This window comes from Homo sapiens, chromosome 1 (assembly GCF_000001405.40).
Source record: "Homo sapiens chromosome 1, GRCh38.p14 Primary Assembly".
Lineage (NCBI taxonomy): Eukaryota > Metazoa > Chordata > Mammalia > Primates > Hominidae > Homo > Homo sapiens.
In genome coordinates this window covers 54,026,681-54,053,869 of record NC_000001.11, presented here as the reverse complement: position 1 = coordinate 54,053,869, position 27,189 = coordinate 54,026,681, and the positions used below count along the sequence as shown (strand labels likewise).

At 39.2% G+C, this 27,189-nt stretch overlaps 2 protein-coding genes across 9 annotated transcripts in view, besides 7 other annotated features; one reads left to right on the top strand and one right to left on the bottom strand.

The window, feature by feature from the left end:
- TCEANC2 (transcription elongation factor A N-terminal and central domain containing 2) overlaps window positions 1-262 on the bottom strand; it is a 58,913-nt gene extending 58,651 nt beyond the window's left edge. For both annotated transcript variants that reach the window (NR_130900.2, NM_153035.3), the window contains exon 1: window positions 112-262. The gene's annotated coding sequence lies outside the window, so the exon portion shown is untranslated. The remainder of the gene's footprint in view (window positions 1-111) is intronic.
- Window positions 63-618: an enhancer, noted in NCBI's record as "NANOG-H3K27ac-H3K4me1 hESC enhancer chr1:54518925-54519480 (GRCh37/hg19 assembly coordinates)". NCBI's record gives its function as "activates a minimal SCP1, AML or CMV promoter by ChIP-STARR-seq in naive H9 embryonic stem cells {active_cell/tissue: H9 hESC(naive)}" and the evidence as "EXISTENCE:reporter gene assay evidence [ECO:0000049][PMID:30033119]".
- Window positions 63-1,173: a biological region, named in NCBI's record as "NANOG-H3K27ac-H3K4me1 hESC enhancers GRCh37_chr1:54518370-54518924 and GRCh37_chr1:54518925-54519480".
- Window positions 212-911: an enhancer, noted in NCBI's record as "active region_1052". NCBI's record gives its function as "activates an Ori minimal core promoter by ATAC-STARR-seq in GM12878 lymphoblastoid cells {active_cell/tissue: GM12878}" and the evidence as "EXISTENCE:reporter gene assay evidence [ECO:0000049][PMID:35858748]".
- TMEM59 (transmembrane protein 59) lies at window positions 297-27,189 on the top strand. Of its 7 annotated transcripts, none has more exons than NM_001305051.1 (8): window positions 297-514; window positions 6,498-6,603; window positions 8,084-8,178; window positions 10,345-10,497; window positions 12,065-12,146; window positions 13,033-13,114; window positions 17,152-17,260; window positions 21,565-27,189. In NM_001305051.1, exons 4-8 carry the CDS (start codon window positions 10,348-10,350, stop codon window positions 21,718-21,720), a joined length of 579 nt encoding a protein of 192 aa, NP_001291980.1. In that variant the 5' UTR covers window positions 297-514; window positions 6,498-6,603; window positions 8,084-8,178; window positions 10,345-10,347; the 3' UTR covers window positions 21,721-27,189. The 7 variants fall into 7 exon arrangements, with proteins under 7 accessions (NP_001291980.1, NP_001291978.1, NP_001291981.1 ...); NM_001305049.1 differs by having other exon boundaries at window positions 13,030-13,114; NM_004872.5 differs by lacking the exon at window positions 297-514 and adding an exon at window positions 666-870.
- Window positions 340-634: an enhancer, noted in NCBI's record as "tiled region #13762; HepG2 Activating DNase unmatched - State 1:Tss, and K562 Activating DNase unmatched - State 1:Tss". NCBI's record gives its function as "activates a minimal TATA promoter and a strong SV40 promoter by Sharpr-MPRA in HepG2 and K562 cells {active_cell/tissue: HepG2 | K562}" and the evidence as "EXISTENCE:reporter gene assay evidence [ECO:0000049][PMID:27701403]".
- Window positions 619-1,173: an enhancer, noted in NCBI's record as "NANOG-H3K27ac-H3K4me1 hESC enhancer chr1:54518370-54518924 (GRCh37/hg19 assembly coordinates)". NCBI's record gives its function as "activates a minimal SCP1, AML or CMV promoter by ChIP-STARR-seq in naive H9 embryonic stem cells {active_cell/tissue: H9 hESC(naive)}" and the evidence as "EXISTENCE:reporter gene assay evidence [ECO:0000049][PMID:30033119]".
- Window positions 1,322-1,371: a silencer, noted in NCBI's record as "silent region_915". NCBI's record gives its function as "represses an Ori minimal core promoter by ATAC-STARR-seq in GM12878 lymphoblastoid cells {active_cell/tissue: GM12878}" and the evidence as "EXISTENCE:reporter gene assay evidence [ECO:0000049][PMID:35858748]".
- Window positions 16,088-16,288: a silencer, noted in NCBI's record as "peak239 fragment used in MPRA reporter construct". NCBI's record gives its function as "represses an SCP1 promoter by STARR-seq MPRAs in K562 erythroleukemia cells {active_cell/tissue: K562}" and the evidence as "EXISTENCE:reporter gene assay evidence [ECO:0000049][PMID:32103011]".

The window sequence follows — 27,189 nt, the reverse complement described above, 5'->3', positions numbered from 1 at the left end:
CCACGGCTGTAATCTCTGGATCCCCGAACAAGGAGAAACCCCATCCTCCTCGTTCCCAGCACTCAGGAGCCCGGGTAGGGGCACCCAACAACGGTCTGACGTGAGACCCACCAGGAAAAGCAGCCCTGGTAGCTGCTGTTGGCGCCCTCCAGACTGCAACCTCGTAGGCTCCCAAGCCCAGTCGTCTGTGTTGAAACTAAACAGACGCTTCCTCCCAGGGCGGTAGTTCCTCTGAAGAAACTCCGCCGGCCCTCGCGCCTCTGGGCCACAGCGAACCACATTCCCCAGAATGCACTGCGAAGAAATGCGGGCGGAAGGCGCGCTGAGGGCGGCTGTAGTTTTCCGAGACCAACTTTCCCGACAGCACCGTGCGCCTCCCGCCTACGGAGAACTACATGCCCCAGCCTGCCCCGCGAAGGGAAGAAGTCAGGAGGCCCCGCTTCGCGCTAACGCTTGCGATGGTTGAATTCCCCTCCTCACGCCAGCCTAGGAGAAGAAGTTCGTAGTCCCAGAGGTGAGGCAGGAGGCGGCAGTTTCTGGCGGGTGAGGGCGGAGCTGAAGTGACAGCGGAGGCGGAAGCAACGGTCGGTGGGGCGGAGAAGGGGGCTGGCCCCAGGAGGAGGAGGAAACCCTTCCGAGAAAACAGCAACAAGCTGAGCTGCTGTGACAGAGGGGAACAAGATGGCGGCGCCGAAGGGGAGCCTCTGGGTGAGGACCCAACTGGGGCTCCCGCCGCTGCTGCTGCTGACCATGGCCTTGGCCGGAGGTTCGGGGACCGCTTCGGCTGAAGCATTTGACTCGGTCTTGGGTGATACGGCGTCTTGCCACCGGGCCTGTCAGTTGACCTACCCCTTGCACACCTACCCTAAGGTAGGGCCCGTCCGGAGCGGGCTGCGACCCTTCCCTTGCAGCCCATTTCTCGGCTCCCCACACGTATGTCGGCTCTGGCAACCTGGCTGTTAAATCGGCCCTTCAATCGCTGTCTCCCATCTGTGTAGCTCCTGTTTTCCTCCCTAATCCTGCCTGCACCCCATTTCTGCTGTCATTACCGGAAGTTTGTCCTGCACTACCCTGTGATAGGCTGGGGGACACAAAGATGAGAAAGACGCGATCCCTTTCCTCTGGGAGCTTGCCGGGCTGCAGGGGAGTCGAGCACTCGGAGGAGGATAGGGGAGGATATGGATGATTAATGCGGGGTCCTCACCTAAGGGAGCGTAAGGGGGGATTGTAGAAAGGGAGGCGCAGATACGCGAGTCCACAAATGATTGATTGATAACCCTTGTTTACTAAGCGCCTCTCGGGGCCAGGAGCGCAGTCTTCGGGGAGTCAGACAAGTAGACGATTCCACTGTGGTATAAAAAGCGTCACGAAGGCAGCTCAGGGAGTAGCGAGACGCTCAGGAATGCTGTCTGCCTATGTTGAGTTACTGTGTCCAAGACGCTGCCAAGAGGGACTGGGTTAGAGAAGAGGCAATTAGGTGTCTGCCTACCAGAAACTGACCACTCAGTGCAGAAAACGGGGAATTCGTGGAGTGGGTGAAGAAATGAGACTGTGGACAGGAGGGGGTTCGCAGCTTACAGAGAGGAATGGCCCTCCTCTCTATGCTTCCCCCCTTTCTTTTAATTACATACCTAACCCTCTTCACGTTGGTTTTTCAGCCTAAGAACTCTGTTTACTCAACATTCTAAATTGCTTGATGATTCCCACCACACCTTTCCCATGTATGATTTGAGTATATGCCCTCCCCCACGTTGTTTTATGAGAGCTTTTGTTGATGTTGCTGGTGGTTTCCTCTTCGTTTTTCCTTCATCTCCTCTATGCTATTTGCTTAACCATTGTGGCTGGACCTCCTTGCTCTCTAAAACTGGAGTGGCTACGGAGACAGTTCCAGTGAAGCTTAGGATGTTCCATATTGGCGAGTATTTTCAGGTCTTTGAAATGAAAAGTTCTAAGTGCCGGCACTTCTCAGATTTTGTTACGGCTGGATTTTAAACTGCATGGAGATTATCAATTTTCAAAAAAAAGTGTGGGAGAAGGGACTGTACTAAATTTTTCCAGAGATTTATGTAACAATCGAGAAAGAAGTGAGAAGTTTTAACTTCAGACTTAAATCAATGAATACTGCTTCTAACCACGTTATTTTTCTCCACCTCTTGTAAACTTCTCATCATTAAGAGGATTGTATGAAGAAGCTCATTAATATTGATTTGGCCTGGAATTGGGTTGAGACTTACTTTCTATTGTTCTAGGGTTTGTTTCCTTTTTTGGGATTTTCTCGGCAATTTTGTGGTATAAACCAGAATGTTGGGAAAATAATCAAATAATTTGAAAGGATACCTTCCTGGAAGTTGTAGGTACTTTAATAATGTCCACTATTTTCTAACAATTGGTGTTATATCTATAAACTATTTTTACTTATTTATTAAAGCTTTTCTCACAAAGAACTCCAAATCATCTGGCTCCCTATAGGTCCTGGACTTGAAATTTATATAGACTCCACTGTTAGCCAGAGTGATGGGAGATTTATCATACCATTATCCCTAATTCTCACAACAACCCTGTAAAGTAGGGTTTTAAAATTAAGGAAATTGAGGCTCTGAAAGGTTAAGTGACTTGCCTAAGGTCACATACCCAAGAAATAGTGGAGCAGGAATTCAGCTTAAAACTGGCTACACTATGCTGCCTCCTATTAATAAACTTGCATTAAACATATTCGGCCGGGTGCGATGGCTCACGCTTGTAATCCCAGCACTTTGGGAGGCCGAGGTGGGTGGATCACCTCAGCTCAGGAGATTGAGACCAGCCTGGACAACATGGCAAGACCCCGTCTCTGGAAAAAAGAAAAACAAAAAAACTAGCCAGGCATGGAGACGAGCACCTGTAGTCCCAGCTACTCGGTGGGAGGCTTGCTTGAGCCTGGGAGGCGCAGGTCGCAGTGAGCCGAAATGTCGCCAGTGCACGCCAGTCTGAGAATGAGACCGTGTCTCAAAAAAATAAAAATAAAAAAATGCCGGGCGCGGTGGCTCACTCCTGTAATCCCAGCACTTTGGGAAGCTGAGGCGGGTGGATCACCTCAGGTCAGGAGTTCAAGACCAGCCTGGCCAACATGGTGAAACCCTGTCTCTACTAAAAATACAAAAAAATTTAGCCAGTCGTGGTGGCGGGCGCCTGTAATCCCAGCTACTCAGGAGGCTGAGGCAGGAGAAGCGCCTGAACCCGGGAGACAGAGGTTGCAGTGAGCCCGCGCCACCGCACTCCAGCCTGGGCGACAAGAGGGAAACTCTGCATCAAAAAAAAAAAAAAGAAACATATTTAATTATGTCACTGATTTCTATTGGCTCTCCTCTGTGCTTTGTGCTCCAGGAAAAAGCACTGTGTATTGTAAGAAATTAGATGAATTTTCAAACTCACATAGCGTTTGAAAAACGAGATAGAAATCTCGTTTTAGGCTGGGCGCGGTGGCTCACGCCTGTAATTCCAGCAGTTTGGGAGGCCGAGGCGAGTGGATCCTGGGTGGTCAGGAGTTCAAGATCAGCCTGACCAACATGGTGAAACCCCATCTCTACTAAAAATACAAAAATTAGCCGAACATGGCGCACGCTTGTGATCCCAGCTACTCAGGAGGCTGAGTCAGGAGAACCGCTGGAACCCGGGCGGTGGAGGTTGCAGTGAGCCAAGATTGTGCCACTGCACTCCAGCCTGGGGGACAGAGCAAGACTGCATCTCAAAAAAAGAAAAAAAAAAAAGAAATCTCAGACACTTTTTGAGAACTAATTATTTGTTGCAAGAAAGTAGAATACCTGTTTGTAAATAGTTATTTTTAAATTATTCTATGTTTTATCTACAGAAGTGCAATTGCATAATTTATCTCGGTCGAAAAAACAAGAGACATAAATCATGTTAATAAAAAAGCTAATTAGAGCCAGCCTGGTCATTTTTTAATGGAGTGTGGTCTCTAGAACCATACAGACCTGGTTTTATTCCCAGCTCCTTGATTACTGTTTGTCCTTGCTGATCACTTAACTTCTATTTATTTATTTTTTAATTTAAAATAATTGAAACAGGGTCTTGCTGTGTTGCCTAGGCTGGTCTCAAACTCCTGGGCTGAATGGGTCCTTATGTCTTGACCTCCCAAAGTGTCGGGATTACATGCATGAGCCACGGTGCCTGGCCTAAATAGTACCATTGAGGGACCTTCTAATTATGAATTTAGCTGGTATTTCATATGGTGGAAGCACTATTTATTGTGTCCTAAATCAGAGGAGATACATGTTATATAAACTTGCCAGTCATTTGGGATACATAGGGCATGAAATATTTACTTGAAATCATTATTTTTGTATATATAACATGAAATACTTAGAATAAAGATATGATTCTTGATAGCTACCAGTTGAGTGCCTGCTCCATACCAGATGTTTCATAATTTGTTAAGTCTTAATACAGTGCCTGGCACATTGTGGATGCTCATTAAATATGTCTGTCTATTAGATAGTACTACATAGTAGTAATGCTATTGTAGATATAAATATATAATTCTCCTAATAGTGAAGATTGACACTCTGCAATTATACAGGCAGTAGAAAATAAATGAATAGTAGTTAGGATTGATGTAAGAGTATTGTCCTTATTTTACAACTGAGGAATTAGATTAAGTAACTTGTCAAAGGTTGTGCAGAATAAGTGGCAAGTCTGAGCTTCAAACCAGGGCCGATTCCTGAAACCTCGGCTCTTTTCACCATGCCATATGGTTTTCCGAAATTGGTACTGGATGACTTATTAAAGGAAAGCATATCTGAGAATGAAATGGCATGTGGTATAGCTCATACTAATGAGCTTATGCTTCCTTTGTGCAATATAAGGAAATATGTGGTGCTCCAGAGACATAAAATAATTCTTTAACTGTTTTACAAAGCCTGCAACAGCTACTCAGATATGAAATCTATCTCAATTGTTAAAATTCTTTCAATTTCATCTTAACAGTAAATGCAGTTGGAACTGAGGTCCAAAAGTGTGCTACCTTCAAAGTTGTATGATAAAGTATATTTAATATTAGACTGCAGGCATCTCTTCTTGATGGATTGTTGCTGCTGCGTAAATTTTACTAATCCTTTTGCTGGAAAGAAATACATAGCTTGTATTTCATTGGTTGCTAACTGGTATATGCACATGCTGTTTCCTTATTAGGTGTCTGCCAGTTTGTACACAGTGGATCACATAGTAAGTCGAGGGGGCTCCCCCATATGCAATAGCTTTTTTTAAATACTTTTATTTTATCAAAGAAAAACAGCTGAAGACATTAGTCTTATTAAGCAGTTAATATTTTACAGTAATGAAGAACCAGATGTCCATCCTGTCTTAAGCTTTCACACGTATACATTGATGCCTGTAATTGTTTTCTATTTTAAAAATCTATTAACACTATTACCATTTATTAAGCACCTTCTACATCCCAGGCACTATACTGGAAATAGCTTCCAAATTATTGAGGAATTTGGAGATAATGGCTGTTCTCTCCTTTTTTGATGAGAAAGCTGAGATTCTTAGACAGGTAAAATAACTTATGCACTCACCCAAAAGGTTTGATCTAGGTCTGGCTGATTGCAGTGTCCTTTCCCATACACCACACTGTTGCTCCTGTGTTTTCATTTAATGTAAGCCCAGTTTTAAAAAATCCCTTCATATAAACATTTTTATAGATGTATACCTTACTTTATCAGGCCCTTGTGTCACCATTTGCCATGTGAAGCTAGTCTGATACTTTTCCTGATAAGCCTGGTGATTCATATAAACAGGGATGTGGCAGAAGTATGCCATTGGTCCTAGGGTACTTGCTTACTCCTATCGCTGTTAAAGTTCTAGTTATATCACCGTTGTGTTTTTTGTTGTTGTTGTTTTTTAAGCAACAGGGTCTCACTTTGTACCCCAAGCTGGAGTACAGTGGTGTGATTATAGCTCACTGTACCCTCAAACTCCTGGGCTCAAACAATCCTCACACCTCAGCCTACTGAGTACTAGGACAACAAGTGTGCACTACCATACCCAGTTATTTTTGTGTGTGTGTTTGTTTTGGTACAGATGGGGTCTCGCTATATAGTCCAGGCTGGCCTCAAACTGTTGGCCTCAAGCAGTCCTCCCACCTCAGCTTCCCAAAGCCCTGGGATTACAGGTGTGAGCCACTGCACCTGGCCTGTCACTATTAGTTTTATTTTTAATTTTTCCCCCCCACAGATTGTAACCAAAGAAAATGGAAAAAGGGTGGTGGTTTTACCTACTAGGCTTTTTTCTTCGTATCACTTTTAAAATAAGGAACTAAAACCTCTATATGGCAAAGGTCTTGAGTATCAACTGGCTCCTATCATTTTTTTCTTTCAGTTATGAAACTTACTGGACGATTTGTAATAAACTTTACTAACTGCTTTCTTCCTAACCTGTTTTCCCCTGAGGAAAAAAAAATACTATTTTTTGGTAACCCTTCCTGTTCTTGAACTCCCTAGGAAGAGGAGTTGTACGCATGTCAGAGAGGTTGCAGGCTGTTTTCAATTTGTCAGTTTGTGGATGATGGAATTGACTTAAATCGAACTAAATTGGAATGTGAATCTGGTAAGATGCTATGCTAACGACATCAGCTGTATGTAACATTGTTTTCTTTGTGATAAGCTTTTGAAGTATTTTCTTTAGGAAATGGAAAACACACTGTTGAAACTAGTCATCTAACATATTGTAATTATTATGGATCTAAGAGTTTTCGTAGCTGCTGCTAGAAATTTCATGGGCTTTAAATTTCATCTGTTTGTTGAGACAGTGTTTATTTTCTGCTATGAATAGGACACCTTTGTTTAACCAAGCATTCTGTCAGACAAATGCAGTATAATTACCCTACTCACAATTCATTACTACCTTTTCACAGATAGTATAATTTTCCTAAACCTTTCAATCATAAGTTCATCGACTTATCTCCAAGTTTTTTACTGAATCAGGCCTTTGACTCAGTATTTAATAGCATATTATTCATTGGTCAGGCCATTAAAATAAGTAGCCAGAGGCTTTGTCATCTGTTAAACCACTTTTCTTTCTTTTTGCTGAAAGCAATATGTTTAACAAAAGAAACCTATAATCAGGACACAATTGACGTTTAACTTTTTAAATAACTATAATGGAATATTCTCCACTCGTTACACTGTTTATTAGTGTAGAAGGAGGCACCTTTTCCCCTATCACTATGCCATGGCTCACATACAGTCTTCTTTGATATCATAACCGTATTTTTGCGGCTTAGTCTCCTAACTGATCATCTTTATATATGCATAATGCTGTCCAGTTTATTATCTAGCACTTCTGAGAAGTGTATTACAAATGCATTACTGAGTTGGGAAAAAATAAAATTAGGATAGTGGTAAAATGTTATATCACAAGAAGGAAATGGATTTAATGAACTAAATGAGAGTATATCTGGTAGAGACCCATTTCAACATTAGAATTATCTGCTGTAGAACATTTTCTAGTTCAATTTTCTTAGACTTTCAGATGTTAGGCTGATTGTTTTATTTTTCTTTTGCCATGTGCATACCCTTACTTCTTAACTGAGTGATCTGGTTCTTAACAATAATACCTTATATTTGTATAAATCATTAAAATATATTATTTCATTCAACCCTATACAATAGGTTGTGGTATTTCTATTTTACACATATAGAAATCAATAGTCAGAGGTTAAACTGCTCAGCTCAGGTCACACACACCAACAAATGATGGAACTAAACCTTTTTGAGTGGCATCTTCAGGATGCCAATCCAGTGCATTTTCCACCACACAAGGATCCTCTTATATGAATGTCATCATGTGGCCAGAGCCTGGGTGTATAATTAATAGATTTGTATCTAAAACATTTGACTTGTAGGAGGGAGACAATATGGAGTTCTGTTAAAGATACATTTCCTACTACTATATTACCAAATTTGGAAATTCACATTGATGAAACCTTTTTAAGTATAAAAATTTTTTTAATAAAATGCCAAATCCTTTTCTTTCCTCTTTCCCTTTCTCTTTTGTTTCTTGTAATTTGACTATTTTTCTCTTACAGCATGTACAGAAGCATATTCCCAATCTGATGAGCAATATGCTTGCCATCTTGGTTGCCAGAATCAGCTGCCATTCGCTGAACTGAGACAAGAACAAGTACGAAACAATACTGCCTTTCAAACTAGCCTGCTTAGATGGCACTGACTTGTATTGCTTGAAGTGTTTATCACCCACTTGATCCTATTTTAGTGTTATATTTTATATTTGGCTTTCAGCAAACAAAATTAGTTTGCAAATAGAAAAGTCAGTTGAATAATTGCTTTTGTATAATGCTTTACTATTAAAAGTTATGCTTACGTTCATAATCTTATTTTGTTTCTTCTCACATTCCAGTGAAGATATTATCCTCATTTTACATATGAAAAAACCAAGGCTCAGAGGAATTATTTCAGAGTTCTTTTTCTCCATCCCAACTCCCATTGGACAGTTGCCATTGCCTTAACTCAGATAATCATTTCTTGTCTGTATTTTTAAATTAACTTCCAAACTGTTTTTCTAATTTAACCCTGTCTAACTCCATCCTTTGCTGTGTCCAGATTTTTTTTTCTAAATTTCATCATGCCATTCTCCTGTCTTATATAATCAGTAGCTCCCAATTACATATAGATTTAAGTCCAAACTGTTTATCACAACCTACTCCTGATTACTGCTCCAATGCCATCTCTTAAAATTCCTGACAAGGGAATTTCATACTCTATTCTCCAGACATACTGGGAAAAGTTTCTTAATTTTATTGATTTTTGCACAGGAAATAGTCACATGTACAAACTCAAAAGATAAAAAGAGTATACATATAGTGAAAAGTCTCCCACTCCTGTCTCTTAGCCACTCAGTTTTCCCTCTTGAATGTAGCCAAGGTTACTAATGCATAGATATGTTATGCGTATACAAGGATGTACACATATATTTTGTAAATATAAGTATACATAAAGAGCTTCTACTAATTTTTTTCTACTACATAATATTCTGTGTAGATATATTATAATTTTTTAGGCAGTCCCTTATTTGTGAACATGTAGGTTGTTCCTAATCTTTTTCTTTTGTAAATGATACCTATTTTGCACATTTGTGAGTATACCTGTAGAATAAAATCATAGGGCTAGAATTGCTGAGTTAAGAGGTATATGCATTTTTTATTTTTATGTTTTTTAGAGATGAGGATCTCACTATATTACCCAGGCTGGCCTCAAGCTTCTGGGCCCAAGTGCTACCATAGATACCACTGCACTCCAGCCTGGGTGACAGAGCGAGACACTGTCTCAAAAAAAAAAAAAAAAAACAGATGAAAAAAGAAACAAAGCAGAACCAAAGCTATCCCTAGAGTTTAGTAAATGGCATCCCACACTTGTGCTTTAGAGAGGCCCAGTGCTGCTAAAGAAGTCAAGAAATCAGAATTGGAGGAAAGATGATATCATTTGTCAAAATCCTTTTTTTTTTTTTTTTTTTGTGATGGAGTCTCGCTCTGTCGCCAGGCTGGAGTGCAGTGGCATGATCTTGGCTCACGGCAACCTCTGCCTCCCTGGCTTAAGGGATTCTCCTGCCTCAGCCTCCTGAGTAGCTGGGACTACAGGCGTGCGCCACCACGCCTAGCTAATTTTTGTGTATTTTTAGTAGAGATCGGGTTTCACCATGTTGCCCAGGATGGTCTCCATCTCTTGACCTCGTGATCCACCCGCCTCAGCCTCCCAAAGTGCTGGGATTACCGGTGTGAGCCACCACGCTGGGCCATTAAAATCTTATCAGTAGCTTACTACATATATTCAGCCCATAAATACTCCCTTCACCCTGTCGTGTTGTCAGATGTCTACCATTTTATGTATATATTCTTCTGATTGATTTTTTCCGTTCTCTTTTCCATTGATGTTCATTATAGCATGATTTATTCTTGATGAAAGCATTAAAGATGAGAATGATACGATTTGTCCCTTCCCGTTCTACCCTTAAGGCCTTGCTGGTCCTTATTTAATTACATCTTAAGAGTCTTCTTATTTTTGGACTTAATTCAAAAGCCTGTTATTCTGATAGAGGTGACAGGTAGCTAGTAAGTGTGTTTGGTGGCAAATTAAAGTATCCTTGGTTTTTAAGCTTTACCATAATGTGCATAGATAACTAAGAGTTTACTCTAATGCTATTGATTATGGTAGATGTATTTAATTGTTTGTATCCTGTCCCAATAAGGATTGGAGTAATCTTGATTATATTGTTCTTTTGAATATACATATATAAAAATAATATATTTCTCATTATTTATTTTATTTTTAGCTTATGTCCCTGATGCCAAAAATGCACCTACTCTTTCCTCTAACTCTGGTGAGGTCATTCTGGAGTGACATGATGGACTCCGCACAGAGCTTCATAACCTCTTCATGGACTTTTTATCTTCAAGCCGATGACGGAAAAATAGTTATATTCCAGGTGACAACTGAGCTTCATGGATTCATCTAAATACTAACAACAGTAAATGTATATGTCTTAAATGAGTGTTTCAGCATAGAACCATACTCAGTCACTTACAAATATTTATCATCAAATAATAATTACTTATTTGGCCCTACATTAAAATATTAGACATCAGTTTTATTACCCTTCCCTTTGCCCGTTAGAAGCCTAATCTAAAGCCCATTAGTTTTTATGTAACCAGAACTCTTGAGTCTTTTAAATTTTATGGTGGTTAAATTGATAAAATGAAATTTTTAAATATGAGAGACAATAATTAATATACTTCGAACATAAATAGTGGCCATATATGATTACATATGGATATCAGATAAAAGCAATATGACATAATTTTTAGTTTTTTACAGTGCTTTTACTCATGACTCTAATAAGAGAACTTGTTGAAGAAGTATTTTGCCTAGAGAAGTAATGTCTCCTATCTCATCGTTTACCACATGATAATAACTGTTATTCCCTGGAGGTTATATTGTGCTAGATATATTCTCTCACATCTTCAAACAACTTTATGAGGTTGTATTATTCCTGTTTTATTATGAGGAAGGTGAGAGTAACTTGTTGCAGTTTCACGGCCAATAAGTAACAGAATTAAGCTTCAAACCCAGGGCACTTTAGCACCAAGGCCCATATACTACCCTACCATGCTTTTAATTCAGTAGTTGAATTCCTCAAATTTACCAGTCAACAGAGTTTATGTTGTGGCACTGTCTTCCTCTCAGGTAATAAAGTAAACCTTTTAAGTACTGTAGCTAAGTAAGTGGCTTAATGTATGGCTGGTATGTGATTTTTAGCACTCCCCTGAACCTTGGGTCCCCTCTACTTAATTTGGTAATAAGTAAAACACAGGAATTTTCTCTTTAAATTCATGAACAAGTTCTAGGTCCTAAAGCTACTTACCTCAAGGCATAAGTTGACTCTCAGAGTGAAGCCCTCATTCATTCCTCATTAGATAGGAGATTAGCTCTGTGTCTCTCTAAAGTCTGTGTGAATTTGAGCATAACTGGGATGCAGAAACCCCCATTCTAGAGGATCAGAACTATACACAAGATGTAAAAAGTATGGAGTGTTTGGCTGTAATTTATGGATTCCTCATACTTAGGGAAGAATATAATGTTTCATATGAGAATAAATAGAGATAATGTGTATTTAGCCAAAAGTTTTGGCAGTCTGATAAATTATTCCTGATCAACTAGAATTAGAACTCATTTCTGCAAGGTATAGTATTTAATGTAGTATGTCATGATTTGTCCCTCTCTCCCTTTAAAAAAAAAAAAAAACAAAACAAAACGTTGTCAGGAAGTTAAACTAACATAAATCTGCCAGAAATCTGTTTCTTTGCAAGGCACTGGCTCTGATGTTTAGGAAGTGCAATTAAAATATATTGTGGTTAATGTGTTTTATTTTTTATACAGTATTTCTGCTACTTTTTCTCAATTTAAATGTTTAAAGAGATGATTTGTTTTAGAACTTGTTACTGAAAAAAGCTAAAGAAGTACAAATGACTTAATTGCTTTCATTATTATTTTAGTCTAAGCCAGAAATCCAGTACGCACCACATTTGGAGCAGGAGCCTACAAATTTGAGAGAATCATCTCTAAGCAAAATGTCCTGTAAGTTTTATTTTAAGTAGCTTAGATAAAAACATTAGCAGTCAAATCTGGTTGTAGTAGAGTTGGTCATGTTTGTTTTTACACTGATGGAACATAAACAGATAATTTCTAAAACAGTGGTTCTCAAACTTTCATGTGTATTACAGTTTGGAGAGCTTGTTCAAACACAGATTGCTGGGCCCTACCTCCAGAGTTTCTAATTTACTAGGTCTGGGAGAAGATCTGAGAATTTGTATTTCTCACAAGTTCCAGATTTTGCTGATGCTGCTGGCCTGGGGGCCACACTTTGAAAATCACTATTCTAAAAACATTTAGTTTGCTTCAAAGGATGTTTTGAGCATGAACTAATCAAATATTCTGGTATTTCCCAATAAATTGATCAAATAATGAAAAATGCCAAAAGTGAGAGTCCCCATTCTATTTTTATTTCCATGTTAGAAGTGAATTTTGACTTATAAGAACATAAAACATCAAGCTAAAGCAGAACTCACCTTGTGAAATTTCCTCATACCTTATTTTAGATACTGATTTAATTAGCCTTCTAATTATTTTGGTGGGTGGGAGTGGGTAGATAATGATAGCACATAACATAAGACCATCTTTAACTTTAATTAGATTAGAATAAACCAAATCCAAGCTCACATGTAATTAAGCAGAAAGCATCAATGTCAATAAGAATTTGAAAATAAAACAGGAAACTCATAATGTGATAGAATATTCATTTGGTTTTGATGTGCTAGAGAAACTGGTACACATTATAAAATGTATCAGATGACACAAACAAAAACAATTGGATATCTGTAAAGTGTATATATCTAGAAGTAGTCATGTGAGACTAGCTTTTGGAATATAGGATATAATAAACTCATACTTACTATTTCAGCAGATCTGCAAATGAGAAATTCACAAGCGCACAGGAATTTTCTTGAAGATGGAGAAAGTGATGGCTTTTTAAGATGCCTCTCTCTGTATGTATTCCTCTTTATTATGTGTATAACAGATAAAATCTGGCTTGTATCAGAGAGATATATTACTTTTTATTATTTTAAAATTAGCACCTCAAAAGTAAACCTTTTTACTTGTTCCTTTCCAAAGTTGTACATTAGATATTTTAGTTTGTTTAAAAGGTTGTAGGCATACTACTTGAATAAAACCCAGGCAGGTAGTTTTTTTCACAGTACAAGAGCATTTTTCTTGTTAGAATCTCTTGATTTATGTTGAATGTGCTTCTCCACACATTTAAATTAAGCTTTAATTTAACATATGTCTGAGGCCGGGCACAGTGGCTCATGCCTGTAATCCCAGCACTTTAGGAGGCCAAGGCGGGTGGATCGCCTGAGGTCAGGAGTTCGAGACCAGCCTGGCCAACATGGCGACACCCCATCTCTACTGAAAATACAAAAATTAGCCGGGCGTGGTGGTGCATGCCTGTAATCCCAGCTACTTAGGAGGATGAGGCAGGAGAATCGTTTGAACCTGGAAGGCAGAGGTTGCAGTGAGCTGAGATCACGCCACAGCACTCCAGCCTAGGTAACAGAGTGAGACTCTGTCTCAAAAAATAAAATAAATAAAATAAGTATGTTTGAATGGTTTAGGGATCAGATTTTTGTTTTTGTTTTTATCTGCATGGCCAGATTTGACGCTAGAAGAGCTGGATAAAGACTCTAGATTAAGAAGGGCTTTGTATTCTATACTAAGGAATATCAGCTCTATGCCAAGAGTTTTTAAGGGTAATGGTAAAGTGGGCAAGTGAGAGTAGGGGTACCATATGCCCTCCTAGGAAAAAATATCAAGCCTTATGAGGGTGAGAGGCAGGTTTTATGAAAGTGTGCATGTTTCCTCTTCTCCAAGGAGTTCAGATATGGTCCCTCCCCCACATTTTACTCCTCCCCACCCCCAACAAAAAAAGGAAAAAGAGAAAGATAGTGGGCCATACCACTTATTGACTATCACCTACTCGGTGTCAGATACCAGGTCAAGCATTTCAGTGAGTGGTAAACAAGTTTCTGCTTTATAGTGTGTTCATTCTAGTGGACTGTTCTATCTCAAGTATAAAACTGCAGTAGTCCAAATCACATGCTCCCTGTAATTTCTTATAGAAACAGTTTCTTGAGAGGTTTTATCATATATCATTACAATTATGTGGACCTTACAAATTAATACTTTTTACTAAGCAAAATGTTTAAAGACTATGTGAGAAAACAAGGATTAAACTTTAAATTTTATCCTTCGTTCATTTCTAAACCTGGTTTTGAGCTTGTCCAAAAAAGGGCAGTTTTTCTTTCCAGTATTTAGGATGTATGTTGCAGTTTGATAGTTCTGTGAAACCTAAATAATTATTTAATCTTAAGTTACAGTTCTCAGTACTGTACTACCTGGCATATTATTGGTGATTTATTGACCTTTAACATTTTGTCATTATATGTTATGTTGTTTTTTTACATCTAACACTTTAAAAGTAATTTTGTGAAGCAACTAACTTTATAATGTATTTATAGAAATGTATTTCTTAGAAGTTTCTGTGCCCAAACATAAATTATAATAGGATCCTACATTTGAATAAAAATTATTCTTTTGGCCGAGTGCGGTGGCTCATGCATGTAATCCCAGCACTTTGGAAGGCCAAGGTGGGAGGATCACTTGAGCCCAGAAGTTCAAGATCAGCTTGGGTAACATAGTGAGACCCCATCCATCTCTACAAAAAATAAAAAAATTAGCTGGACATGGTGGCACACACCTGTAGTCCCAGTTGTCAAGAGGCTGAGGTGGGAGAATCACTTGAACCCAGGAGGTTGAGACTGCAGTGAGCTGTGATCGTGCCATTGCACTGCCTGAGTGACAAAGCGAGACTGTCTCAAATTTTATTATTTTTTTAAGTGTTCTTTTTTTAAATGCTTTTTCCCCTTCAGTGATCCCATTTGACTTTTAGAACAATACCCTGTGATAAGTAGGTGGTGATTTAGAGAGGTGAATTGACTACTCGCAAGGTTATACAGTCACTATGTTAGCATTCAAACCTAATTTTTCTAACTGTACATCTTCTGCTCATCCTATTCTGCTGTAACTATTTACTTCCTAAAGTGTCATGATTTTTCCATGATTACATACAGAATCACTCAGCCAGTTATTGGAATCTGGTCGTAGCTGTTAAAGAGACACCCTTGTCTCCAGAATGGAAATTGAGGTCACTCTTTCTTCACTTGCATTTCTTTTTGAGGAGCCAGGCACTGTGCTAGGGAGTTGAGACCTAGTAAAGATGTCAGGAGTTCTCAGATCTAAACAGACATGGACAATAATGATTGCTATACACACACACAGTCCTACACATGTCTCATACACAGCATATAAGGACTGTATTTAAGTCTACTGGAGGTTTCAAGGGGAGGATTGACAGGTGAGATAGAAATATCTCAAGTGATGAGTAGAAATTTTTGCTAGTTATAGCAGAAGATTTACTTAAAATTTTTTTTTCAGATATACTGGCCTCCTGCTCAATGTGTATAGGGTACATTACTATATATGGAGGATAAGGAGAGTCAGAAATTTGACTGAACTGGGAAAACAGGAATAGAGAGAATCAGGAACATAAGTGTCAAGAAGAGGCTTCTATGTGAAGGATAGATTAGAGGACCAGGTTGGAGAACTTTGGTAAATCAGGGAAGAAATTATGAGGTCTGGATTAGGGCAGTAGATAAGAACAGGAGATAATGGAGATAGTTGAAAATCTGTAGGATCTAGTCATTGTTTTGTTGTGGAGATTGAAGGGATGAGCCCCAGTTTTCTGGCTTAGGTAGTTGCTACTGGAATCTAGATATCAAATATATCCTCATTTTGTGGTAAATTCCTTAGTACTCAGGTTACTTAGGGCTGGAACATGGAGAGGAAAGTGGGTATTTGTTCATTAAAAACATATTTTACTCTATTATCTTTCTAAATTGGATACTTAAAGAATCATATGGGAGTTCCCTGCTTTTAGATACAATACATTCTCCAAAGTCCACCTCTTTTGCTGGCAGACAAACAATGACTGTGCTTACTGCATGTTCAAGTCTTGGCAAACTATCAAGTGAGTGATTAGGGTGGTAAGTATAGATCTCTTACTAGGCAGTGTTGGATGAGCAGAGATGTGAAAATTAGGGAGTATCTGTATTACACAGTTTGTCAGAGTTAGACTTTTAATTATTTAAAAATGGCTTGACTTTTTCCTATTCTTTGAATCTTAATAGGTCAATTATGAAAAAAACTCCAGGTGGGAGAATGGCTTGCGCCCATGAGTTCAAGGCCAGCCTGGGCAATATAGTGAGAGCTTGTCTCTATAAAAATTCAAAATAAATAAAAATAAATAAAAAATCTCTAATTGCTGATTCTCATAACTGGCCTTCTGTCTTAAGATATTTTAATTATAAGGAAAATATAACTATCTCTTTACTGAGATATGCTGTAATGGTTACAGAATGCCTTATAATAGCTGTGCTTTTTTAAATTGAAGTATAAGTAAATTATGGCAAATTGAATATGTAAAGTATTCTAGGGAAACTGACTTCTGGAAGCCTGGTGTGAATTCTTTTATAAAACAAATGATCATTTTAAATTTACCTATTCTATACCTTAACTTTTTGGTATATTGGTTTTCTTAAAGCAAGTATCGTAATAACTTGCAAAATAATATATGACATTTGTACAACAGTGTACAATTTACAGGACACTTTCACTTGCCTTATATATTTAGCAGAAAGTCAAGTATATCTGATTTTATTATTATTACAAAAGTGATATAGCCATGTTACAGAAACATTAGAAGTGGAGGAAAAAGACTTTATGCCAACCTAATGTAATAGCTATTAGTATAATATTTCCTTCTGTAAGTATGTTTTTTAATAGTTTCAAAGATAACCAACAAAGTTTTAATTGTACTGTTGAGCTAAGTACATAAGGTTGACTAATTAAGAATTTCCTGTTTCTTATAAAATTTTAATATAACTAATTGTTGATTTTTTTTTTCCAGTAACTCTGGGTGGATTTTAACTACAACTCTTGTCCTCTCGGTGATGGTATTGCTTTGGATTTGTTGTGCAACTGTTGCTACAGCTGTGGAGCAGTATGTTCCCTCTGAGGTAAATTTAATTCTTACCATTTGAAGACTGAGCCCTGTGATATATCATTTTAAACACCTTATTTGTTTAGCTGGAAAAACAAGGCCTTTCTACTAATAGAAAGAGAGAAGATGTGGTGGTTTTAATGTGGTAGAGGTTGGCACACATAAAAATTACAGGTTTGCAGCACAAGAATTGTTGTTCTCAGCTTTCTGTGATGCTAACTACCGTGGTGACATATATGTTGACTGGCTTGAGAACGGTGTCTCTTTCTGACTCTCTAAGACTGAAAAGACCTGTTGACATCAGTTTCTAGGGGATATATGGGAAAGAAGACTTTTTTTTTTTTTGAGGCAGAGTCTCATCTGTCACCCAGGCTAGAGTGCAGTGGCCAGGATCTTGGCTCACTGCAACCTCTGCTTCCTAGGTTCAAGTGATTCTTCCTCAGCCTCCCGAGTAGCTGGGACTACAAGCATGCGCCACCATGTCCAGCTAATTTTTGTATATTCAGTAGAAATGGAGTTTCACCATATTGACCAGTCTGGTCCTGAACTCCTGATCTCAAGTGACCTGCCCACCTCTGCCTCCCAAAGTGTTGGGATTACAGGCGTGAGCCACCATACCCAGCCAGAGAGAAGACTTGTAGAACCACTTAATAGTTTAAATTAATTACCACAATATTAAGGATCAGTGCTGCTTTAGAAGCAGCAAGGCTGGGCCAGGTGTGGTGCTCATGCCTCTCTAATCCCAGCACTTTGGGAAGCCTAGGCAGGAGGATCACTTGAGCTCAAGAATTTGAGACCAGCCTGGGCAACATGATGAGATCCTGTCTCTATGAAAAATTATAAAAATTATCTGGGTATGGTGGTGCGTGCCCGTGATCCCAGCTACTTAGGAGGCTGAGGTGGGAGGATCACTTGAGCCCAGGAGGTTGAGGCTGCAGTGAGCCAGGATTGTGCCACTGTACTCCAGCCTGGTGACAGAACAAGACCCTGAGTCTCAAAAGAAAAGAAAAAAAAATGCTGGAGTGTTTGATTTTGAGTTGTTATATTCTGGTATCTAACCCCAAAAGAGATGGGAGACATTGTGACTTCCTTGGTAATTAAAATTTAACTGGCCCAAAAAATATAACTGTTAAGGTAAAGGATTTTTGTTTGGGGGAAAGGCTATAATTTAATTATTCAACTTAGCTTTCAAGAACAGAAAAGTATTTATATAACTAAATATAGAATAATAATGGCTGTCAACATCTAATCCAACTGAAATAAACTTTAGTTTTCTTATGCCTCCAAAGTACCATAGAAAAAGAGAAAAGACAGAAATTAGAATCTAATAATAAGCCATTGGCATGTGCCTAACATGGTGCCTGAACAACTGTCTTATCCTAATAGACTATAAAGATGTTTAAATATATGATTTGCACATGAAAAATGATTAAGATAATATTACACTTAATATTTTTATTAAGGTGATATAATTGATGTAGGTACCTGGAAACTGGGACAGGATAATGTTGATAACTAACATTTATATAGTCGTTAAAATTTACAAAGTATTTTCATGTATCTTCATATTCTTCCCATCTAACTGAAATGTTGTGTCCTTTAACCAACATCTCCTCAGTCTCCTACCTCCCTTCAGTGGCTTCTTTCATGTTGATGTATAAAATCAAACAGTTCCTGGTTGCTGCTTCAAGATCTTTAAATATTGTTAGGTAGAGTTGTGAACATTTTTCTTTCACAGTGCCCCAGAGCCAACGGTCACATGTGAATTCTGAGTTTTATGGAGGCCTGCTATATCAGATCCATCAGATCCACGTCCAACCCATCAACCACTGAACTTTCTTTTTTCTTTTTTTAGACAGGGTCTCGCACTGTCGCTGAGGCTGGAGTGCAATGGCACGATCTCAGCTCACTGCAATCTCCACCTCCCGGGTTCAAGCGATTCTTGTGTCTCAGCCTGCCGAGTGGCTGGGACTACAAGCGCACACCACCACACCCAGCTTATTTTTGTATTTTTAGTAGAGATGGGGTTTCACCATGTTGGCCAGGTTGGTCTCGAACTCCTGACCTCAAGTGATTCGCCTGCCTTAGCCTCCCAAAGTGCTGGGATTACAGGTGTGAGCCACTGCGCCTGGCCTGAACTTGTCTTAAAGCTACTCTCATACTGGAAAAGCTTAAGGTACTGGGGCACCTCCTTGCAGGATAGTTGTTCCCCTGAGGCAACCGTCCAGTAGAACACATCTGAAACATGTGTGAGTAAGCAACTATCGTGACAATCACTTTTAGAACATTTTCATCAGCCCAGAAAGAAAATCTATACTCTTAGTAATTGCTCCCCATTTTCTCCCAAGCAGCAGCAGCTGCACCACCCCTACCCCCATCTCACCCTCCAGCCCTAGATAGCCAATATGTAGTCTCTTGTGACTGGCCTCTTTGACTAAGCATATTTTCAAGGTTCATCATGTTATAGCATGTATCACTTTATCACTTTTTTTTTTTTTTTTTTTTTTGAGATGGAGTCTTGCTCTATCGCCCAGGCTAGAGTGCAGTGGTGCGATCTCGGCTCACTGCAAACCTCTGCCTCTCGGGTTCAAGCGATTCTCCTACCTCGGCCTCCCTAGTAGCTGGGACTACAGGCATGCACCACCACACCCAGCTAATTTTTGTATTTTTAGTAGAGATGGGGTTTCACCATGTTGGCCAGACTGGTCTGGAACGCCTGACCTCAGGTGATCCACCTTCCTCAGCCTCCCAAAGTGCTGGGATTACAGGCTTGAGCCACCACGCCCAGCCAGGATAGCATGTATCACTTTTGATAAACTCTTGAAGGTGCTCTTTATTCAGCATCTTTTAAAAACACCTTTCCAGTATCGGGTACTTCTGTGGAGTTCTTGCTTTATAATCTAGTCAGTTGTCCTGCCAGTGATATCAGCACTTCAGTTTCTAACTTTTGGATACAGGGATTTGTTGCCGTATGAGTAGATTAACAACAGAATCTATACCATTTTTTTTTTTTTTTTTTTTTGTGAGACAGAGTCTCACTCTGTCCCCCAGGCTGGAGGGCAGTGTCGCGATCTCACCCCACTGCAATCTCTGCCTCCCGGGCTCAAGTGATTCTTGTGCCTCAACCTCCTGAGTAGCTGGAATTACAGGCATGTACCACCATGCCTGGCTAATTTTTTGTATTTTTAGTGGAGACCGGGTTTCACCATGTTAGCCAGGCTGGTCTCGAGCTCCTGACCTGAAGTGATCCGCCCGCCTCAGCCTCCCAAAATGCTGGGATTACAGGCATGAGCCACCGCACCCAGCCTATGCCGTTTCTTAGTGGAGACTTTTCACTTTGCTTTTCTGCCTTTAAGAGATACATACGGACAGGCCTAGTGGCTCACACATGTATCCCAACACTTTGGGAGGCCAAGGTAGGAGGATCACTTGAGGCCAGGAGTCTGAGACCAGCCTAGGCAACATAGCAAGACCCCATCATTTAAAAAAAAAAAAGAAAGAAAAAAAAAAGAAAGAAAGAAAAAAGAAAAATTAGCTGGGCATGGTGGTGCATGCCTATAGTCCTAGCTACTCAGGAGGCTGAGGCAGGAGAATCACTTGAGCCCAGGAGTTCAAGGCCTAGTAGTGAGCTATGATCACACCACTGCACTCCAGCCTGGGTAACAGAACAAGACCCCGTCTCTTTAAAAAAAAAAAAAAAAGAGACAGAGACATTCATACATATATCTAAGTCTACCTACTCTCAAAAGATGCTAGATATTACTATTATTCTCCAATGAGTTTTATGACATTTGCAGTGATTCTGTTTTATGCTTTCATTCTTTTAGTGTCTTCTTGTATATGGTATTAACAATTAAGGAACTTTATATATTTATGAAGACCCTTCTATCAGTGTGAGAGCATTTCATGCATATTCTTTGTTCTCGCAGCCTTTTCAAATAGCATCTATCATTTTCCATACATGTTAAGCTAAAACATTTAGGAGCAGAAAAACTTGCACCAAATTATTTTACCACTTGGTAGGAGAGCTAAGATGTTGAAGGACTTGATCACTTAAGGCATCCATAGCTGTTTTTCTTGATACCCAATTGTTATACTCCTGAGGATTTTAACTTGAGACGTGGAACAGCTTTCTTTGGCCATCCATTGGGAGCTGAATCACATATCTACAACACTTTGAGAAAAAGTATTCTTCTTTCTTAAAGTTGTTTATAGAATTTTTTTTACCAACTATTTATAAATTAAATTGTTATTTAAAGACTAACTTGGAGAGGTTCCTAATTATCCAGACTACTAATGTACATTGGTTTTCTTTTGCAGAAGCTGAGTATCTATGGTGACTTGGAGTTTATGAATGAACAAAAGCTAAACAGATATCCAGCTTCTTCTCTTGTGGTTGTTAGATCTAAAACTGAAGATCATGAAGAAGCAGGGCCTCTACCTACAAAAGTGAATCTTGCTCATTCTGAAATTTAAGCATTTTTCTTTTAAAAGACAAGTGTAATAGACATCTAAAATTCCACTCCTCATAGAGCTTTTAAAATGGTTTCATTGGATATAGGCCTTAAGAAATCACTATAAAATGCAAATAAAGTTACTCAAATCTGTGAAGACTGTATTTGCTATAACTTTATTGGTATTGTTTTTGTAGTAATTTAAGAGGTGGATGTTTGGGATTGTATTATTATTTTACTAATATCTGTAGCTATTTTGTTTTTTGCTTTGGTTATTGTTTTTTTCCCTTTTCTTAGCTATGAGCTGATCATTGCTCCTTCTCACCTCCTGCCATGATACTGTCAGTTACCTTAGTTAACAAGCTGAATATTTAGTAGAAATGATGCTTCTGCTCAGGAATGGCCCACAAATCTGTAATTTGAAATTTAGCAGGAAATGACCTTTAATGACACTACATTTTCAGGAACTGAAATCATTAAAATTTTATTTGAATAATTATGTGCTGAAATTTGAGTATCTGATTTTTCTAGACCTTCCCTCCTATTCCTGCCCAACCTAGATAAGAATTATGAAATGTTCTGTGTTTATTGCTATTGCTTTATAATGTGATGGTCAGGGACCATTTTGATGCAAAACTGATCTCTCAGCAGTACATTTGATGTTATTTTGCACAGGCTATAGGTTTTTGTTTGATGAGTGTTTCCAAAGAACTATTTTTCTCTGTTAGATAGCATATCAAGTATAAGGTAAACATATTTTCAGAGAAAACTTCATTTTAACACTAAAAATTAGACTCTTGTGATACAGAATTAAGTATAAATTTTACTTGGCAAAAACTCGTTTTATTTTTACCTGCAATAATACAGAGCTTAATATTAGAATGATATCAGGTCATAATAATAATACACCAGAATCTTTTGAGATGGAATTTTGCTCTTGTTGCTGAGGCTGGAGTGCAATGGTATGATCTTGGCTCACTACAACCTCCACCTCTGAGGTTCAAGCGATTCTCCTGCCTCAGCCTCCCGAGTAGCTGGGATTACAGGCATGCGCCACCACACCTGGATAATTTTGTATTTTTAGTAGAGACGGGGTTTCACCAGGTTGGCCAGGCTGGTCTCGAACTCCTGACCTCAGGTGATCCACCCACTTAGGCCTTCCAAAGTGCTGGGATTACAGGCGTGAGTGACTGTGCCCAGCCTACACCAGAATTCTAATATGATTCACTGTTATTATGCCATAAAATATTAAAAACTTTGTAAAACAATACTTTCCTCAGTCACAGGGGCATTGCTGACAACTGCATCAGTGCTGTTTGACTAAAGAATAAGTTAGTCACTCCTCCTATGGCCTAGTCTTTAGCCTTCCTGAGTCCAAATGAAAAGCAGTTAACAGCTAATCAAGGAAGACTTTGGTCACAAAGTGTAGGTTTTTATTTTTAGTTTGTCTAGATTTGGATGATAGAAAGTTGTGAACACATCCAGATGGGGAAGAAAGGAGGAATTAGCCGTCATTGTCAAGCAGTCATTGTTTCTTTCTTCTTTTTGTTAGAAAACATGGGATAAAACGTGGGGACTCAGCCAGGCACAGTGGCTCACGCCTGTAATCCCAGCACTTTGGGAGGCCAAAGCAGGAGGATCACTTGAGGTCAGGAGTTCGAGACCAACCTGGGCAACATAGCAAGACCCTCTCTGTACAAAAAAATACAAACAAACATGGGGACTATATAAAACATGGGTAGTGGATAGGAGTTACCATTAAAAAAAAATAAAAAGCCCTGTTGTTTCGTCTCCCATCATTAGTGCATACTTAGTTTCCTTAGTCAGGCACAGGTTTAATTGTAATGCATCCAATGAAGCAAACAGAGAAACACAAAATGCTGCTGTCTCACAGGAATCAAAGAGCCCACTGTTAGAAAAGACCCTCCCTTATAAAAACAAAACAAAGAATTATCTAGATCACTTGGGGCCAGGAGTTCAACACCATCCTGGGCAATATAATGAGAATCCCATCTTTTTTTTTTTTTTTAAAGCAACTGTACAGTTGTCCTATATTCTCCACCTTCCCTTGGTTTCATTTCTCTTCGCTTCCTGAATGAGAAGTGCCTGAGATACCTTCATTTCTCTTGAAAGTATTGATCCAAGTTTAGACAAATATCTCCCCTCTTGTTGAGAGAATTCCTTATATGTGAAAATACCAAGACATTCTTGATATTTAGCAGGCACTCAAATATTTGTCTCCTCTTTTTTAGCATAATTAAGCCAGACTGATGTTTGCATTTGAGTATCATCAGCATGAGTAACCATTTTAATCTCTCTTCCCTTAACTACTTGTTCTACACTAGAGTCTAGGGTCAGGGTACGTACAGTGATAAAGATTGAGATAATGGGAAATATAGTCTTCTGTTTGGGAAGCTGGATTGTAGTGTTGATTTTCTGACTCCTTGTGGTAATTAAATTCTGAAGCACAGAATCTACTTTTGAGAAGAAATATTTTACTTTTGAAAAAAAATCCCCAAAATATATACAGCATAAAAATGTTTCCGATCTTGAAAATCCCAACCAAAGCAACAAAACTGAGCTTCCAAGCCCCTTCTCCTAAAGTAACAGTTTTGCCCTTCTTGGATGTGCCTAACTTTACTTAGCTCCTTGTTTCCATAAAACAGTCATAATCTTATTTCCTACCACACAGAAAGCATCTTGAGAATCTGGTCTTGGTCCTAGGCAAATTCTCAAGACCGTTGGGTCTCTGGTTCAAACCTCCCAGACTTCTAAGGTCTTTCTTGGCTCAGGTCCCTCATCTAAGAGACATGCTAATTCAGGCAATTACAAAAGCAGTACTAATCACCATAATGAATGATCTGGGCCTAGGTTCCAAGTTTTCTCACAAAACTTCATGGGCACCTTTCATTTGTGATATGTTTTGTAGTAAATCAGAAATTACTAGATGATCTGGTCAATCTTATCTCAGAAATCCCTGTGGTGCATCATGAGGCAATCTGAGCTGCTGATCAGCAGAAAACCCTGCACTGTCTGAGCTTATCTTCCAGCCAAAGGCAAACAATTTACCCTTTGTTATTAGTCTGTCTGGATTTGTCTTAGATAAATGAGCCATTTTTGTTACAAGTTTTTTAAAGATATACAGTAGTTCCATTATAATTTTTGTGGACTCAAATATCAAGTCCACATGTAGGGAATCATTGACAGAGATTTCCAGTTACTGTCACCACCACACCAAGGCAGTAATTTTGCTCAGTTCTGCCTTTATAGATCCACAATTTAACCATTCAACAACCACCTGAGATCCTGAGTGGCAGGCCCTATGCTAAATGCTAGGACCACAGTAAGACCCAGTGCCTGACCCCAATTGCTGAGACTCTGAAGGAGACTATTATTAATGTGATAAGTGCTATGACCAAGCACAGAGCACATAGGAGGAGCTGTATGCATTATGGGAGCACACAGGAGGACTTCTGGGAGAAAGTGATAGCCAAGCTTAAACCTGGAGAAAAAGGGAACGCCAAACACAATATAGAGAGCAGTGTACCAGACAGTGGGGACACTGTGCTCAAAGACCTAGAGGCCAGAGGGTGAGGCACTGCAGATTGTTGAGTAGGCCGAGATAGAGCATACAAAAGCATAACAAAAGATGGGGCTAGGCAGACCAGGTAATAAACCTGCACTTTAAACCTGCACTTGATCCTGAGCACAGTAGAGAGCCACTGAAAGATTTTAAGCAAGAGAGTGCCATACAGTGTTGGAATGATTCACTCGGACAGCAATGTGGAAGATAGACCAGAAAGGGCAAGTCCAGAGGCCAACAATAATCTTAGCCTCAGAGTTCTTTTTTTAATACCCAAGAATACTATTTCATTTTACTTATATTTTTAAACTTTTCTCTATAACGCTCTCTCTGCTCCCCCACATTGTTGTCTGGATGGTAAACCTAGGACTGGTCTCTGAGTCCTGGTCACAGCCTGGCAACAGAATGTTTGAGCAAACTGGGAAGGCTGCCCCATGGATCCCTGGTTTCTTATCACCATCCTCTTAATTCTACGTTTGCCAACCAGTCTCTAGGAAGCCAGCGTGCTCTTGCGCCCCTCCCACCAGGTTTCCAGTTGCTAAGCGTGTCATGTTTGCATTTGGGTATCATCTGCATGAGTGACCATTTTAATCTCTCTTTCCTTGACTACTTGTTCTACACTAGAGTCTAGGGTGGGGGTGAGTACAGTGGTAAAGACAGGGATAGCGGGAAATTTAGTCTTCTGTTTAGGAAGCTGGATGGTAGTGTGGATTTTCTAACTCCTTGTGGTAATTAAATTCTGGAGCACAGTTTTTAGACCTTTTCTGAAATCTGTTACTGTTGAAGTCAGCTTCATATATTTCACTTTTTTTTTTTTTGAGACAGAGTCTCACACTGTTACTCAGGCTGGAGTGCACTGGTACAATCTTGACTCACTGCAACCTCCACAGCTCCCAGGTTCAAGCGATTCTCGTGCCTCAGCCTCCCAAGTAGCTGGTACTACAGGCGCGTGCCACCATGCTTGGCTAATTTTTGTATTTCTAGTAAAGATGGGGTTTTGCCATGTTGCCCAGGCTGGTCTCGAACTCCTGGCCTCAGGTAATCTGCCCGCCTCAGCCTCCCAAAGTGTTTGGATTGCAGGCATGAGCCACTGCACCCACCCTATTTCACTATTAAGTACTCTCTTCCTGTGATATTAATGACTTATTTGTTTCAAACTTTTTTGTGCCATTGAGCTTTTTAGTGATCCAGTGAAGCCTGTGGACCCCCTCTCATAGTAATGTTTTCAAAGCATAAAACTAAATATAAAGGATCGCAAAGGAAACTGATCATGTTAAAATAAAGTTGATATTTTCAAAGTTTTATGATCCAGTAACATACATATTCTGTTAACACAAAATAAGACTGCATGGTGGTTCTAAAATTACTATAATTCAAATTCATATCTTGAAATATCTAACAACTGTAATATATCTAAATGTCTCATTTCTATTGGTGACAAAGTCACAGGTACTCTGATCCTACTGTGGACTGTTTCCTATATTCGTAATTGAAGGAAATGTTATATTTCAGTTAGAAGTTGGTGAAAAGAAAGATTTAAAATTTTTCCCATCCAAGTTCACCAGACCCCTGGTTTAGAGGTTGTCTTAATTTTACTTTTGTCATTTTAAGAGTAAATTATTTTGTTTTCTTGTTCAATTCTCAATTATTTGGGCTTATTTTACTGCCTCTTGCATGCTTTTTTATGCTTGAATGGTTTTTGCAGTGTTAGAACAGTAATAATTGAAGACTTGGGTGGAAAAAAATCAGCACCTGATTGAAAATGAAAGGTTTCAACAAAAGCTCTTGATAATGTTACCTCCAGGTGTACCATCATGCCACCATTATTGGTGCTACAAATCTGTTAATTTATTTATGCTTAAGTATGTAAACTTTAATAAAACTTGGATCATCTGCATTAAAAAATAA